The 15,947-nt window shown below is 56.1% G+C and overlaps 2 annotated features.

Moving 5' to 3' along the window:
• Window positions 4,217-4,798: an enhancer, noted in NCBI's record as "H3K27ac-H3K4me1 hESC enhancer chr9:137518819-137519400 (GRCh37/hg19 assembly coordinates)". NCBI's record gives its function as "activates a minimal SCP1, AML or CMV promoter by ChIP-STARR-seq in naive H9 embryonic stem cells {active_cell/tissue: H9 hESC(naive)}" and the evidence as "EXISTENCE:reporter gene assay evidence [ECO:0000049][PMID:30033119]".
• Window positions 4,799-5,380: an enhancer, noted in NCBI's record as "H3K27ac-H3K4me1 hESC enhancer chr9:137519401-137519982 (GRCh37/hg19 assembly coordinates)". NCBI's record gives its function as "activates a minimal SCP1, AML or CMV promoter by ChIP-STARR-seq in naive H9 embryonic stem cells {active_cell/tissue: H9 hESC(naive)}" and the evidence as "EXISTENCE:reporter gene assay evidence [ECO:0000049][PMID:30033119]".

Raw genomic sequence — 15,947 nt, forward strand, 5'->3', positions numbered from 1 at the left:
TCTCTCTGCCCCTCTCTCCCTGCCTTCCTCCCTGCCTCCATCCCTGTCTCCTTCCTTCCCCCTCCCCCCTCCTCCCTCCTCTTTCTCTTCTTTCCCTCCTCTCTCTGCCCCTCTCTCCCAGCCTTCCTCTTGCTCCCACAGGATTCATCACAGCCTCTCTGGCATGCACACCGCTTTGTATGGGCTTTGTACAGGGCATCTCTGGTGCTGCAGCCAGCTGCTGACAAGGGTGTCATTGCCACCAAACTGGAACTCCACAAAGGCGGGGTCTGTGCTTTGTCCCCCTTTGTCACTGCAGTGCTAGCGGCCAAGCTGGCCAGAGCTGGTGCACTTCGGAGATCTGGTGACTGAATGGAGACATGGAACCATCCAGCATGGCGTGGCATCTGCTTACAGTCATGTGAAGGGCTGGCTTGGGACTGCAGACCGCCTTGGGCCTGAGTTAACTGGAAAAGTTCTTTGGCAATGGTGGCCTGGGAGGATGAGCAGGGCTGCAGGAAGAGGCTCTGCAGGTTGCAGAACTGCCACGGCGGCCACACAGTCCAACAGACGCACGTTCAGAGCCCTCCTCTGGGCCGCACTGATGAATTTTCCAGAACTCAAGTGAATCCAGAGATGACTGCGGCTCTGAATGAACAGAAAGAAGCATCAGTCCTGTAGAAACCCGGGGCCAGGCTGGAGCCAGCCCTACATGATTCATTTGCAAGAAACGGGCTCTTGGCTCCCTCGCCAGTTCCCTCTATTTGGAAGTCACTTCCATTCAAATGTTCTGGAGCGCCAGGATGGTTTTCGGTGGACTGGGCTAGCACACGGGGTCTATGACAGGTCCTGTGTTCCGGCGCCTCTGGGCTTCACACTGAAACACCCAGCCCTACCATGCTGTGTGTCCAGAATGCAGCACACTGTAATTTGGGGAGACCAAGGAGTCAAGGGTGCCAGTCCCTGTCCCCTGGCAGGCATGGGGGCCGAGGCTTCTCATAAGAGGAGCAAACGTCCTCCCCTCCACCCCTGCCTAATGGGCAGCTCCTTCCCTGGCTGTGGGGCCTCGGCAGGTTGCTGGGCCTCAGTTGTGTTTTCCGTCAAGGTGCCTCTCGGTTCCGCGTGTCACTCAGCGGAAGCAGCTGTCAGAGTGGTGGGCGTGGCTCCGCGCCTGGTCCTGGCACTCTGGGGAACATCACCAGGACTCCACTGAGTAGAATCTGTAGAGGGCAGTGCAGGGGTCTGCAGTTTTGGCCAGTGTCCCGGCTGACTGTGGGTCCCCCAAGGTTCCGGACAGATGCCATCCGACGTCCAACAGAACTCTGCACCAATGGAAACATCCTATATGTGGGCGGGGTGATTGGTAACCACTACGCACATGTGGCCATTGACACTTGAAATGCGGCTCGTGTGACAGAAAAACTGAATTTAAATGTTGCTTAATTGTAATGACTTTTAAGTGAATATTTAAGTAACCACGTCTGGCCACCGGCTATCACATCGCACAGCGCAGTTGCATAACGGCCGAGCTGGCAAAGCCCCTGGTCTCAGGCAGCACTGAATGAGGGTCAGGTCTACATTTGACAGCTGAGATTCGCAGAGCTGTTCCATGCCCGGCACGGGAGACACTCACAGCGTGACTTGCCCAGGGAGGAGGAGCTGAAGTTCAGAGGGGATAAGTAAATTGCCCAAGGTCACATGACTGGCCAGGACTGACGTGCAAGGGTTTGTTCATTGGTCTCTCAGGCTGTTTGCTGACCCCCACTGCAGTGTAGGAAGAATATAGTCAGCTTCTGCTCTATTTTATGTGTGGGCATTCAAATTCTCCGAGATTCTTTCTTCAGAACAGAAAACAAAAATTCAGCTTTTGTAAGAAGAAATGGGACAATCCACCAGCCATCTGGTCTGCCTCTTGCAGCATCTATGTGCAAGGGGACTTGTAGATGTTCCAGAAGCCACCAGGACATTCCGGCAGCCCATAGCAGCCACCACATTGCCTCAGAAAGGCCAACACCATCCAAGCTTACCTTCTGGCACTCCGCTTAAACACTGCCCGACTGGGTGCCTCTTCCTGGGTCCTGCTCTCGCTTGCCCCAGCCTCTGCAGCTCAGGGCCCACCATCTACCTGAAGTTCTGCACGCCAGCATGCCCCTGAGTCACCAGCTGGCCCTGCCAGTGGGGCTAGGGTGTGAGGCATGTCTGTTGACCTCCCCACACTCTGGTCATTGAAAACAGTCTCTCTGCAGAGGAGGGGAGCTGTCTCAGTCCCTCCAGACACCCACCCGCCAGCACCATTGCTCATCACTGGGAGGGACTGAGTTTCCTGCAATTGAGTCATGCAGCCTGGAGGGTACAGTGGACGGGGCACAGCCTTTCTGGAGAGTAAGTCTCATTCCAAAGAGGAGGAGGGAAAGTAGGTCAGTCATTTGGATTTGGCAATGAATGGACCCCCAGGCCCTCCTGACTCTGCAGCAAATGCTTCCTCACACAGGCCCAGCAGCCCCTCAAATCCACACCTACATACATGTTTGAACAGAAGACTACATGTTCCTTCTTTAGCAAGAAGCCCAGTTTTCTCTGACCCCAAGTCAAGCCAATAAGAGGTCTAGGCTCAGGGGAGAGCTGGTTAGTTCCCTAAGCACTGAAGGTGTTAGGATGCAAAGGCAGAGACGGAACATGGCCGTGGACCTGGGAAGGCTTGGTCCAAACTCCGGCCTGGAGCTTTGCTCCCCGCAAGCTTCCAGCCTCACAGAATTCGCGTTCCCAGGACTGTGACAATTATAGACCGCAATTTGAGTCTTGAGTAACCACGCAGCGCCAGGCAGATGTGACACTCCACTTGCAGAATCTATTAACTGAACTACGCTATCATTTTTGAATGAGGAAAGTTGCCATTCCACACGGGAACGAAGACGGAGGCGGTGGCCAGGAGCCCTGAGCTCTCCTCTCAGCCTCGCCCCACACAGCACCACGCTGGGCCCACCCGTGGCTTCTCTGTGCTGCGCTTACTTTCCTTGTGGGCCTGTCTGAAAGCACTGCGTAAACCAGAAACAACACGGAAGTGAAATACTTACATTCCCCAGATAAGACCCAACCTTTTCCTGTGACATTAACTCACGATTCATCTTCAGGCACATGTGATCACTGACCCTGCCCCCAAAAGACTGTCAGTCAACCCAGTTTTAAATCTAGCCTTAATTGTTTTAATTTGTTTCAAAGGTAAACAAAACAAACAAAACAGCATGTTTTGTATCCAGGCTGTCCAGTGGCCAGTCTCAATGCAGGCCGACAGTTTGGCCATTTACCAAAGCAGCTCCAGACCCCATGCAGGCAGGGACAGCTTCCCCACTCAGCAAGCCTCAGCTGGGGGCTTTGATGAAGAAATCAGCCTCCTTTCAGGGGGAGTCGCTGAAAGTTAACACGACACCTCTGAGAGTCCTCCCAGTAGTTCTACGATTTGATGCGAACGTGGGCCTGGGACGTACTGATGGTCAGACATTGAATTCTCACCAGGCCTGTGTCAAGAGCTGGGCATGTATTCTCCTTTCCCTGGGAGGGCCTCTGGGTGACAGAAGCAGGGGCAGGGATAGGCACCCTTCATAACTGGCCACAGCAGGGGCTTTGCAACGACAGTATCTCTGTACTCTTTAAGTGAGTGGAGTTTGGAGGGGTCCTCAGAAAAGAGAAATGGGCCTGGGAAGGGCCTTTGTGACCCCATGACATATGCGGAGTGAAAGCAAAACTGCTTCCCCGAACTTCCATGCAGCGATGTTCCCTCTCTTCTCCTGGCCCATATGGAATAATCCTGCTCCCCATGATGGCCATGCAAATATCTTCAGGCAGCTGTTTAGGAAAGACAGCTTCTTAAGAAGGCAGATGGCCACCCCACAGGAAATCCGGGCTTTTAACATGGATAACGGGATGATTGAACTTCCCATCCTCCCCTGAGGGCCTGCCACATCACTGGGAGGGTGCAGGGAAGGAAACCCGAGTCCTCAGGAGGGAAGGCCAACGTCAGCTGGAGCCCGAGGGCCTGCCACATCACCGGGAGGGTGCAGACAAGGAACCCTGGGCCCCCAGGAGGGCAGGCCAATATCAGCAGGATCCCGCTGGGGTGGAACCAGTGGGTGCTGCCGAGTGCTTAATGATTGCCTCACTCTTCAGAGAAAAGGCCTTAATTTGCTGCATCTGCCTATTTCTGTGGTGTAAGCTCTCCGGCCGAGGCAGATTTTGACACAGACTTCGGAAGAGACATGCACTGTTGGCTGCAGCAAGCCGGAATACCTGGACCTCTCCTAAGGCTAGGAAGGTGGACCAACCTCAGGTGAAGCAGTGGGTCAGGGTCAAGGTGAGGCTGCCAGGGCCTCAAGGTCTACAGAGTAAAGGAGAAGGGCAGCTCGGGCAGCCTGGTCCAGCTGTGGGACTGTTACCAGCCTCTAGGCCCCTAAGTGTCTGAGGTTTGCACCCTGGCTGGGTCAGAAACACACACACAACCAAGAGCCTCTCTGATCAGCTCTCCGCGTCCAGGCTGAAGCCTGATTGATATTAGCACGTGTGAATCCAGCTGCTTCTGCAGGCACTTATTATCTCACAGAATCCTCATGACAACGCTTTGAGGTCCCCCAGTTTACAGATGAGGAAAACGAGGCACAGAGAGGCTAAGCACTTTGCCTAAGATACGTGATCATCTTGCAGGAAGCATTTCTGCTCCTTTACCCTCCTCCTTACAAGGGAGGGAGAGGAGTCAGTGTCCTGCCCTGAGGTCAGCTCACAAAGAGGAGAATGACGTTGGGGGACAGTGGCATCAGATGCCTGAAGCAGAGGGCCAGTGAGCTGGAGGGTGACGTGCGGGACGGGGCGCAAGGCCAGGAGAGAGACGGGAGTTGCCCTGCTGCTGCTGAGGCCCCTTCTCCCTAGGATGCCCTCCCTCTTTCCCCATCCTTCCCTCCATCCCCACTGTCCCCAGATTTGCAGCTGTCCCACCTGGGGTGGAAGCCGGGCTGCTGCTGTTGAGACCTGCAGGAGTGGAAAATCTGCTGGTTCCCATTAAAACAAATCTCCTTGTTGACAAAAATAAAGAGAACCGAATCTCTGCCAGCATTTACTGTCTGCGAGTTGCTTTTATTCTCCCGCAAGGAGCTGGATCCCCGTGTTCCAAACTGGCACAGACCCACCAGCTTCAAAGCGGGGAAAATTCCTCATCGGGCAGGGGCTTTGGCGGGGCGCCCTGGTGAATGGAAGTGCCTCTCCAGGGGGCAGCAGCCAGGAGATGCCCAGGCCCATGGTCTCATTAACGGTGCACAACATTCTGCCTCATTTTCCTTGGCGCGAGGCGTGGGTTTTCCTAAGCCGAGAGGTGAGACGTGAACGCCGAGTGGAAGCCCATGGCACGCTTGGGCTGCACAGCCGGCACTTTCTGAGCTCAGGCAAGTGGGTGGGCGTGTCTGAGACGCCGACGATGGGTGGTCCGCTCACGGCGCAGGGTACCTGAGACAGCTGCATCCTGGAGCAGAAAGACCGCGGCAGCTACTGTGCAGGGGAGAGTGGGGTGTTGACAGGCGGGTGGACGCCACGTCACCATCTCAGCCCTGGTGGGAACCCCGCCGGGCTCTTACAACATTGAGCTTTGGGTCTGTAGATGGGGAAGTGGGAAACCTACATTAAACAGCATGTTAGTGTCCTGCACAATATGCCACAAACGAGGGGACTTCAAACAACACAAACGCACTCTCCCATAGTTCCAGAGGCCAGAGGCATGAAATCCGGACCTCAGCAGGGCTGCTGCCCTCCAGAGGCCCCCGGGGAGGCCTGCCAGCCTCCTCCAACTCCCAGTGGCTCCAAGTTTTCCTTGGCTTGTGGCCGCGTCGTTCCAGCCTCTGCCTCCTTCTTCACACCAGCCCTCCTCTTCTCCCAGTGTTTCCGCTATGTGTCTCTTACGAGGACACTTATCATTGGATTTAAGACCTATCTGGATAACCCAGAATGATCTCATCTCAAGACCCTTAACTTACCTGCATCTGCAAAGACTCATTTTTCCAGATAAGGCCCCAGCCACAGTTTCCAGTTAGATGTGGACCTATTGTTTTGGGGGCCACCCTTCAACCCACTCCACACGGTATTCAGTAGGATATGTCAGGTACATAGAAGGCAGAGACATGTAAGAAATTTCTCTTCCTAGGAATTTGCACAAGACTTGGGGCAAATAGTTCTTTCTCAAGGTTATTTAAGGAGAATGGATGCAAACAGCAACACAATTCTAATCAGCTATGGCTGTGCCTTCCGTTTGAACATCTATGGGGCACACTAACCCTCTCCACACATTGTACTCAGAGACAGACACATGCGTCACCCTCATGTCAGTGGCCTCTGATTGGCTCTCACCTTCTGGCCATTCAGTGCAGCCCCACATGGACATGTGTGGCTGGAGGAGGGCACACAGCCGAGTGACCATCTCCACTGAAGCTCATGGTCACTCAAGTGAAGTAAGCGCGGCCCCCCTTCCCTGGCTGTTCCCTGGAGGACCATGCGCTGCCTTTCCTTCCCTTCCTGTTCACCCCCCACCCCGAGCCAAATAGAAGCAATCAGAAGAGAATGTCCATTCTCCCTCACCAGAAATTCGTGCCTCATGGCTGCCTCGGCTGATGCCGACGTGGGTTAGCCGCCTCTGTGCCCCTCGGGTGGGGGCTGCACGGGCTCCCGCCGCTCACCCTGTGTGTCACCCCCAGGCCCATTCCCCCGCAGCTCCTCTGCGGACCCCTGCCCAGCTCGCATTTCTGGCTGCAGAAGCCCGCAGTCCCCTGTGGCGTGGTGGGATTGCTCCTGCAGCTGGGGCAGTTGGGTCTGGGAGTCGCTGCCCCAGCGTTTGAATAACATCCTGGGCAGGGCCTGCCCTGCATCCATGAGAATTCCCAGCCCTGTGCCTGGCAGGAAAACCCTGGCTCATGGGTGTGACCTGCTCCCTGTCTGGACTGGGTGGGCAGCCTGCCTGCTCCTGCCTCTGAGCCCATCCTCTTCTTCCAGGAGTCCAGCCCAGAGTGGCCACAGCAGACGTGTAGGCCTCCCTGGCTGGCACCCTGTCTCCAGCCTGTCTGGGGCTGGCCCAGGCCTGGTGCCTTCTTGGTCAGCCTCACTGGACAGGCATGGGAGAGATGCCGAGGGCCAAGTCCCTGGCCCAGTCGCACAGGGGTCTTGGCACAGGTTGCTCGACCTGCCGCCTGGCACTTCCCGCCCCCAGCCCCTCCCCTGCTGGCGCTGTCCCAGCCCTTCCAGGTGCCCCATGCTGTGGGCCTGCCCACTGAGCCCTGAGCTCAGAAGTCTGTGTGGGTGAGTCCTGTGGCCACCACAGGATGGAAGGAGCACAACCTCGAAGGCTAGAGACGGATCTCTTCCCTCAGCGCTGGAGCCTGGAGTCCGCAGCCAGGGCGTCGGCAGGGCTGCACCCCCAGAGGCTCCAGGGGAGCACCCTCCTGCCTTCTCCAGCTCTGGGGGCTCAGGTGCTCCTTGGCTTGTGGCCGCCATGCTCCAGACTCCACCTCTGTCTTCACATGGGTTTTCTCTTGGCTTTTAATCTCCTCTGCATCTCTCTTATAAGGACACTGGGGGTGGTGATTGGGGCCCATGAGGCAAACGCAGGAGGATGGCCTCATTTACAGTCCTTAACCTAATTGCACCTGCACAGACCCTTTTTCCAAATAAGATCATATCCAGGGGTTCGGGGCGTGAGTGTGGGCCTCTCTTCAGGAGCCACTCTTGGCCTGCCGCAGCCGAGCTTCCCTGCCCACGCTCCTGTCCCGTGCCCCCGCCAGGCCCTGGGCGTCTGATCAGCCCTGTTTTTGCTGGAAGGTGGAAGTGAAAGAGACGGCGCCCTGGAGGAATGGGCTGGGAGGGGGTCCTGGCTCCTTCACCTGGGCGCTGTGGCCCTCAGCCTGCTTCTAGGGTCCTGAGCCTGAGTGTTCACCTCCTGTGTGGACTCTTCCTCTGTCTCCTCCTGCTGCTTCTCTGTGGCCCGAGAACCCTCCCGGAGGCTCAGCTTGTGGACCAGGCTCAAAGACTTTGAGGGTGGAATACATATGGCTTCTGGGTTCGACTCCAGTTTGAGAGTCATTTTAAATTCTATATCCGTTTTCACTTCCTCTTATGGAAGAAAATCTAATCTGGGAGGTATTTCCATTAAAAACATTGGTTTAATACTAAAAATGAAAACAAATAAAACTAGAGCCTGCTGGAAAAAATAACAGCCCCAGACGGCGTGCATCTCACATGAGCACTGCGCCACCGCACGCAGCCTCTGACCAAGCTCCCCACGTGTTCTTGCCAGCTTGAAGCCTCCTGTTGGAGACAGGTTTCTGCCCCCAACACCCAGGTGCACAGCAGGCACCATTTACCCCCCATTGCTCCAAACCATGGCTGTCTCCACCCCACTGTCTTCTCAGCCTCCAAAGCTGGAGAGCACAGGAAGACGTGGGGTACAGAGGCCTCTTTTATTGTGTCCTGGAATGTAGTGCATTGCGATGGTTAATATTGAGTGTCAACTGGATTGGATTGAAGGATGCAAAGTACTGTTCCTGGGCGTGTCTGTGGGGGTGTTGCCAAAGGAGATTCACAGTTGAGTCGGTGGACGGGGAGAGGCAGACCCACCCTCAATCCAGGTGGACAGCATCTAATCAGCTGCCAGCATGGCCAGGAGAAAGTAGGGAGAAGAACATGGAAGGAAAAGTCTGGTTGAGTCTTCTGGCCTCCATCTTTCCCCCATGCTGGATGCTTCCTGCCCTTGAACATTAGACTCCAAGTTCTTCAGCTTTTGGACTCTTGGATTTACACCAGTGATTTGCCAGGGGCTCTTGAGCCTTCGGCCACAGACTGAAGGCTGCATTGTGGGCTTCCCTACTTTTGAGGTTTTGGGACTCACACTGGCTTCCTGGCTCCTTAGCTTGCAGATGGCCTATGGTGGGACTTCACCTTGTGATCGCGTGAGTCAATTCTCCTTAATAAAATCCCCTTCATATGTACAGCTACCCTATTAGTGCTGTCCCTCTAGGGAACTCTGACTAATACGGGGTGGAAAGTGGCTCCCAAAATATACTCCCATGTCCCAGACCCCAAACCTGTGAAGATGGACTTATTTGAAAAAAGGTCCGTGCAGATGCAATCAGCTTAAGGACCTGAGATGAATGAGGACATCCTCCTGGATTAGCCAGGCTGGCCTGGCCCTAAATACCATCCCAGGTGTCCTTGTAAGATGGAGGCAGAGGAGGCCAAAACAACAGCATGCCCTGAAGACAGGTGGTGTGAAACGAAGGTAGAGATTGGAGCCACGCAAGGAAGGCCTGGAGCCGCCAGGACCGGAGCAGGCAGGGAGGAGCCTCTGAGGCACGTGACCCTGCAACATCTAGGTCTCGAGCCTCCAGAACCGGGAGAGAAACATTTCTGCTGTTTTAAGCCTCGCTGTTTGTGGTATTTTCTTATGGCAGCTCCAGGACTCCGAGGCAAGGACCATAATGAAGTTGGCGTGGCTCAAGGACTAGAATTTTTAACAAATGAAGCTTGGCTGTTTCAGCCAATGAGCAGGGCATCCTTGTCCCGCCTGAACACTGCCCTGAGAGGCAGAGGGTGTGCTCGCATGACGTCAAACAGCCTCAGGCCTTACCCCAGATGAGCGGCCGTGTATTCTCAGGGTCTGCCCGGGGGCCAGGATGCATGTAAATATGCATCCCACAGTGAAGCCCAAAAGTCATGGTGAGCTCCCTGCACTTGGGGGACCCTGTTCAAATTGCAGAATGACTTTCCCAAAGCCATGTAACACCCCAGGTCTTCAGTGTCTGTCGGCTCCCACCGCATGGCCATGGTGAGGGGATGGATGAGACAGTGAATCCATGAAACCTCTTAGCACCCGGCTCAGGAAGGGGGTCCCCAAGGCCCCATGGATGGGGATTTTTGATGAGGCTTGACGTAAGTGGGCCAGGAAGTATGGTTAGGGTGTGTGTAACCAGCAGGCAGCCCTGCCTCTCTGAGGGAAGAACGCGCCATCTGAATCTCATAGGTCACTCGCAGGGGCTCTTGCCAGACCCGGGCAGATGCGCTGGTTTCCTACCTGAGACAAATCAGTCCTATCTCAAGGCCTCAGTTTCTTTATCTGTGAAATGGGAACTGCGGCCTTTGCCTCCCTCACAGGGAAGTTAGTGCCAAGGGCCAGGAGAATGGGGGGTGGGTGGTTGCCATGTGTGAGACCATGAGAAGGAGGTGATGGTATGGAAAACAATATCCGAGAGAGGTTCCTGGATAGACTCTGTTTTCTGCTCCCTGTGGGAGGCCCTGCACAGGGTCCTGAGTGATGGGGTCCATGGTTCCCATGTGATATGGTTTGGCTCTGTGTCCCACCCAAGTCTCACCTTGAATTGTAGTAATCCCCACACGTCAAGGGCGGGACCAGGTGGAGGTCATTGAATCATAAGCGTGGTTTCCCCCATGCTGTCGTTTTGATAGTGAGTGAGTTATCGCAAAATCTGATGGTTTTATAAGGGGCTTCCCCGCTTTGCCCAGCACACATTCTCTCTCCTTCTGCTCTGTGAAGTGGTGCCTTCTGCCATGATTGTAAGTTTCCTGAAGCCTCCCCAGCCATGCGGAACTGTGCGTCAATGAAACCCCTTTTCTTTATAAATTACCCAGTCTCGGATATGTCTTCATAGCAGTGTGGGAACAGACTGATACACCACGTCTGGGAACAGGCAGGGCCACAGTGCCTACCTCGCGGGGGCCTGGCCAGAGGTGCACTCTGCAGCTGACAGTGTCCAAGGCAAAGGCCTTCAAATGATGAGAGGCACAGCCTGGGCGGGGTCCTGGGCACCGCTGCCCTTGCTGCTGGCGAGTCCCAGCCGATTCCTCCTCCACCGTGTACTGGAAGGCATCCCACCCGTCTCCCCTCTCCCTGGAAACCATAGCTGCCTCTGACTTGAGCCCCACCTCTTGTTCCTCTAAGCAATCCTCAACACTGAAGTCAGAGATCTTTCCAGGATGCAAGTATGACATAGCCTTCTCCTCTTAAAACCCTCTACGCATCCCCATTCTCCTTGGGAAGAATACAAACTCCCTGCCTAGACTGACTTGCCCTGTGCCAGCCACCCCGCTCTCCTGTCCCTGTGCCAGCCGCTCCACCCTCCTGTCTCCAGCCCCTCAGCCCCCAGGCCACCTCCTCCCTGTTCCATCACAGCCTCCTTGGAGTGGCCTTCTGTGGCTTCCTCTGGGCCTGGGCATGTGCATTCCCTCTGCAGGGGGAGAAGAGTCCAGGATGGCATCAGTGAGGGGTGGCACCTGGCCCCAAGATGCCCCTCCTCCTCTTGTATCCTTTTGGGACGTGCTCCCACAAGCGTCCCTACTTCTTGAACCCCTGGGCCCTGAACCTGGGCCCTGCTGACCCCTGTCTGCAGGGAGAAGTGTCTAGGAGGACAGTGTTTATGTCAGGGTCCTTGGTAGCTGACTCTGAGGCTCTGGGTTTTCTAGGCGGACTCTGGAAACAAGGCCTGTGGGGGCGAGGGCAGCAAGCCGGGGCGCAGGTGCATGCATTCTGCAGAGGCCTCATGGAGCCCCCCGACCGCAGGACTCGGAAGCAGGGACGGCCCTTCTGAGTTGTCCCACATTCAGGAAAAGGGACAGGATCTGGAACCTTCTTCCTGACCGGTCCTTGGGTGTGGGCTGCCCTTGAGCAGGGATGGGGTCTAACCTCCAGTAAAAGGTAGTTTAGGCAAGGAACTCAGCTGTTGGCTGTCAGCAAACCATGCTCTTGACAGAGGCCAGGGGAGTCTGGGCCCTGAGGGGGTCTGGGCCAACCCCCCTCCACAGTGTGGAGCACTGGCTCCTGACTTTTTGAGAAAGCCTTCAGCTAACAGGCATTTCTGCTGGTACCACTGCCTTATGCTCGTGGCGTCCTGGAGCGTCGCTGGGGCAGTTGGTCATGGAAAGAGCTCTGTGCCCAGATGGGGTGGGGCTGTCTCCAATTCCTACACCTCCGAGTTAAGTGGTTTCACCCTCTGAGACTCTGTTTCCCCAGTCGATCATGAAGCTGCCGGAAGCAGGACGGATGGAGCCTTTTCTGAGCCTGTGCTCTGTGCCCGGCACAGTCTGTGTGTTATCTCGGATAACCTCCACAGCATCCTATGCAGGGGTGCACTGCGGTCCCCACTTTCCAGAGGAGAACCTGAGCCAGCGTGGGGAGGCTGCAGCCTCAGGCCCCTTGCTGAGGCAGACTCATATCCAGGACGCCGCTTGCTCCAGATTCTGAGGTCATGCCTGCCCTCACCTTCGTCGGATGGTGGGAAAGCTTCAGTGAGATCCCTAGGTGGGGAATCGTCACAGACACCCTCAAAAGCTGTTTCACCAGGGTGATCTTGTTGACTCCCGGGGAACAGCCCATTGAGTGGGAGGCATCTCTTTCCACCTATGCAGATGGTTCTTTAAAAGATTTAATAGCGGGGACCTTTCCAACTGACATTTCTTTTGGGCTGTAAACTCAACCTTTATCTCTAATATATTCTCCTGGAGGATGACACGCCAATCCAGGCCCAGTTTGGAAATGTGCCTTGGCACACTGTGGCCCGAATTAATTGCGAACTCACTCTATATATCTAAAGTCTGTTTGGTGTTCGTCATGGGCTCTCTCGCCTGGAAATTCCATTATTTTGCAGGGTTTACTTGGCACCTGATGGGATATCCAGGTCCAGTAAAACCAGGCCTTCGTGGACATGACATGGAAACAGAGCTGTGCCGCACAGCGGAGCGGGGCCAGTGAGATGGGAGGGCCAGTGAGATGGGAGGGCCAGGCGCAGCCAAGGGACAGCCAGGCTGTTTCAGCCATCGATGTCACGGCTCCATCCCTTGGTGATTTATGCTGCTCTGTCCCTGGGCTTGAAGGAGGGGCAGCCCCTCAGCTGCTGAGAGCCCTGCTTCCTGGCCCTCCATCAGACCATGATAAAGAGCATGAGCCGCCATGCTTGAGAAGCCGCCATGATGAAAAGCGCCTCCAACCTCCAGCTGCGTGTATATGTTTGATCAGATGCCAGGGCCAGCTGTGTCTGGTCCTGCTTGTGTGGCTTGATAAATTGGGCTGGGGGTCCTGGCACCGTGGTGTCCCGGGATGGGAGCTCTGGGAGGAGAACAGCTCCTCTGCTGGACTCTGGGTTGGGGAAGGCTGAGGGTTGGGGAAGAGGAAGAGGCTTCAGCTTCACAAAGTGGTAGAAGTTCAGGTGCGGGGGAAGGGCTTCAAGTAAACCACTGAGTCAGCGGATTGCATTTTCAATGGAATCATGGGGCCTGGAGTTCACTGGACCACAGCCTGCCTGGGTTCTTCCCAGCTCACTCCTCTCACCCCCTCTCACCCCCTCCCACCCACTCCTACCCCCTCTCACCCTCTCTCACCCCCTCCCACCCCCTCTCACCCACATCTAGATGGAGCACAGGCTGCAGGCTTGGACTGGGGAGACTGGGGTCAGACCCACGGCTGCTTCTCCGGAAGCAGAGGTATACACAGATGTGACTACACAGTGTCCCAAGGCCTGTGCCCCCACCTACCATGCTTGACTGTGTGCCCCAAGCCACACCTGCTTCTGTGCCCACCTGCTCCAGTGCACACCTGCCCCATGCACACCTGCTCCAATACACACCTGCCCCTGTGCACCACTGCTCCCATGCACACCTGCTCCCAGACACATCTGTCCCAAAGACTGACTTATTCACATGCACACCTTCATATCCAGAACAGAATGTGCTCCTAACAGGCAGCATGGGCAGGGGCACCTCACTCACAGAAAGGGGAGGGCAATTTGCTGTGGGGAGGGAAGCAAAGAGAGGAGACTCTGGAGTGGGCTTGGAGCCTTTTGGAGGAGATGCTGCATCTGCACTGGTGTTCTGGGCCCTCCAGCTGGCCCCACTCTCACACCCATGGTGGACAGTGCCACCGAGGAGAGGTTCAGCCTATGTGCTAGAGGGACAAGGAGACAGGGTGGTACACATTCATCAGAAGCCAGGGTCCCCTCTCACTGGCCAGGGTCCCCTCTCACTGGCCAGAGTCCCCTCCCACTGGCCAGGGTCCCCTCTCACTGGCCAGAGTCCCCTCCCACTGGCCAGAATTCCCTCCCACTGGCCAGAGTCCCCTCTCACTGGCCAGGGTCCCCTCTCACTGGCCAGAGTCCCCTCCCACTGGCCAGGGTCCCCTGCCACTGGCCAGAGTCTGCACCCCTCACCCCTGCCCCCGCCTTGGGGTGTGAGAATCCACAATAAGAGAGCACCTAGGTGGGTAAAAGTCTCTACTGTGCCAGAAAACAGAGCCCCTCAATCCTCAGATTTCTGCTAAAGGCCCACGGACTGGGACTGTTTTGCAGGAATCCAGTTTTAGGGGGATGAATTGTGTCCCCCTAAAATTCGTACATTGAAGCTTTGCCTCTCAGAATGTGGCTGTGATTGGAGATGGGGCTTTTAACAAGATAATTAAGTTTAAGTGGGATCATTAGGGTGGGCTCTCATCCAACTGACTGGGGTTCCCGAAAGAAGAGGAGATGAGGACGCAGACACACACAGAGAAATGACCGTGTGAGGGCATGGGGGGATGGTGCCGACTGCAGGCCGAGGAGGGAGGCCTTGGCTGAAACCAGTGCTGCCGTCACCTCAACCTCGGACTTCCAGCATCCAGGACTGTGAGGGAATAAATCCCTGCTGTCTAAGCTGCCCCATCTGTGGCACTCTGCTGTGGCCGCCGAGCTGACTCACACACCCGGGAAGCCTGGTGACCTGGGGCATGGCCCCGGCCCCTCTCTCACCCTCTCCTCTACTCTCCACTTGGCAGACACAGGCTGAAGAAGGCTGCAAAAACAAGGCAATGAAGGACATGCTTTGTCCAAGGGCTTTAAAGTGGCGGCCTTCCCCAAGTAATTTTTCAAAGAGAGTGCTGGCTTGAAAGGGGCTCCCTCCCATCTGCCCCGCTCCAGTACGTAGGGAGAGTCCTGCTGGCTCTGTGGGCACAGCGGTGGCCTCTGGTCTGCTGAGAAGCCACAGCTCACATGGAGCAGTGGTCAAGGCCAATGGGTCAGAAGGTAAACTAGGGCCAGTGGGGGTCTGGGCCCCTGGAACCGGCAGGACATGCGGTCAGCCGCGGGCCGGCCCTCGGACCCGGCGCCTCCTTGGTTTGCTCTGCTGCTGGTGTGCAGGCTGCACGGTGGTTAAGGGCTGCGTTCCGGGCTACTGGGTTTAGCCACACCCTTGCTGTTCAGCCTCCAGCAAATAGTTTCACCTCTCCGAGCCTCAGCTTCCTCCTGCCTCAAAGGGTTGTTGCTCCATTGAATGAGATGATGCAGGTAAGCAGGTGAAGCCCTGGAAGGCGGCAGGGGGCTTGGAGGAGGCAGAAGAGGATGAGTGCCCAGCGGCAGGGAGCAGGGAGGGAGGGGACTGTGGCCAGGCCTCCCTCACCTACCTTCTCATCTGAGCTTCACAGGGACCCCCCAGCGGTCAGTTTCTTCACCGCCCATTCACAGATAACAAACTGAGGCTCAGAGACAGAATCCTCTTGCCCAAGGTCATGTGGCTAGTGGCTGGTGCTGCTGGGATTCTAACGGAAGTCTGTGTGACTCTGGAGTTGGCCTGGTCCCAGGACATCAGCTGAAGGACACAGCTGCAGCCCCAGGTGCCGGATGCAGGTTCAGAGCATTCTCCTTGCGCAGCTAGAGGGAACTCCTCCCCTGCATGGGACAGAGTGGGGCAGCTTCCAGCCCCTCTGCCAGGCCGTGGCTCACCCAGGCCCTCCTGGGCCCACTTCAGCAGTCTCTGGACCATAAATGCTTAGAGGGCAAGCAGATATCTGCCTCCAGGCACTCCAAGAAGACCTTGTTCCTCCACCTCCTCCATGGGTCTAGGAGAAGAAGAAGGGACAATCTGGCTGCCCCTCAAGGCCTTTGTCTTGGGAAGCAGCTGGCCATTTTCCAGCCAGA

Source organism: Homo sapiens, chromosome 9 (assembly GCF_000001405.40).
Source record: "Homo sapiens chromosome 9, GRCh38.p14 Primary Assembly".
NCBI lineage: Eukaryota > Metazoa > Chordata > Mammalia > Primates > Hominidae > Homo > Homo sapiens.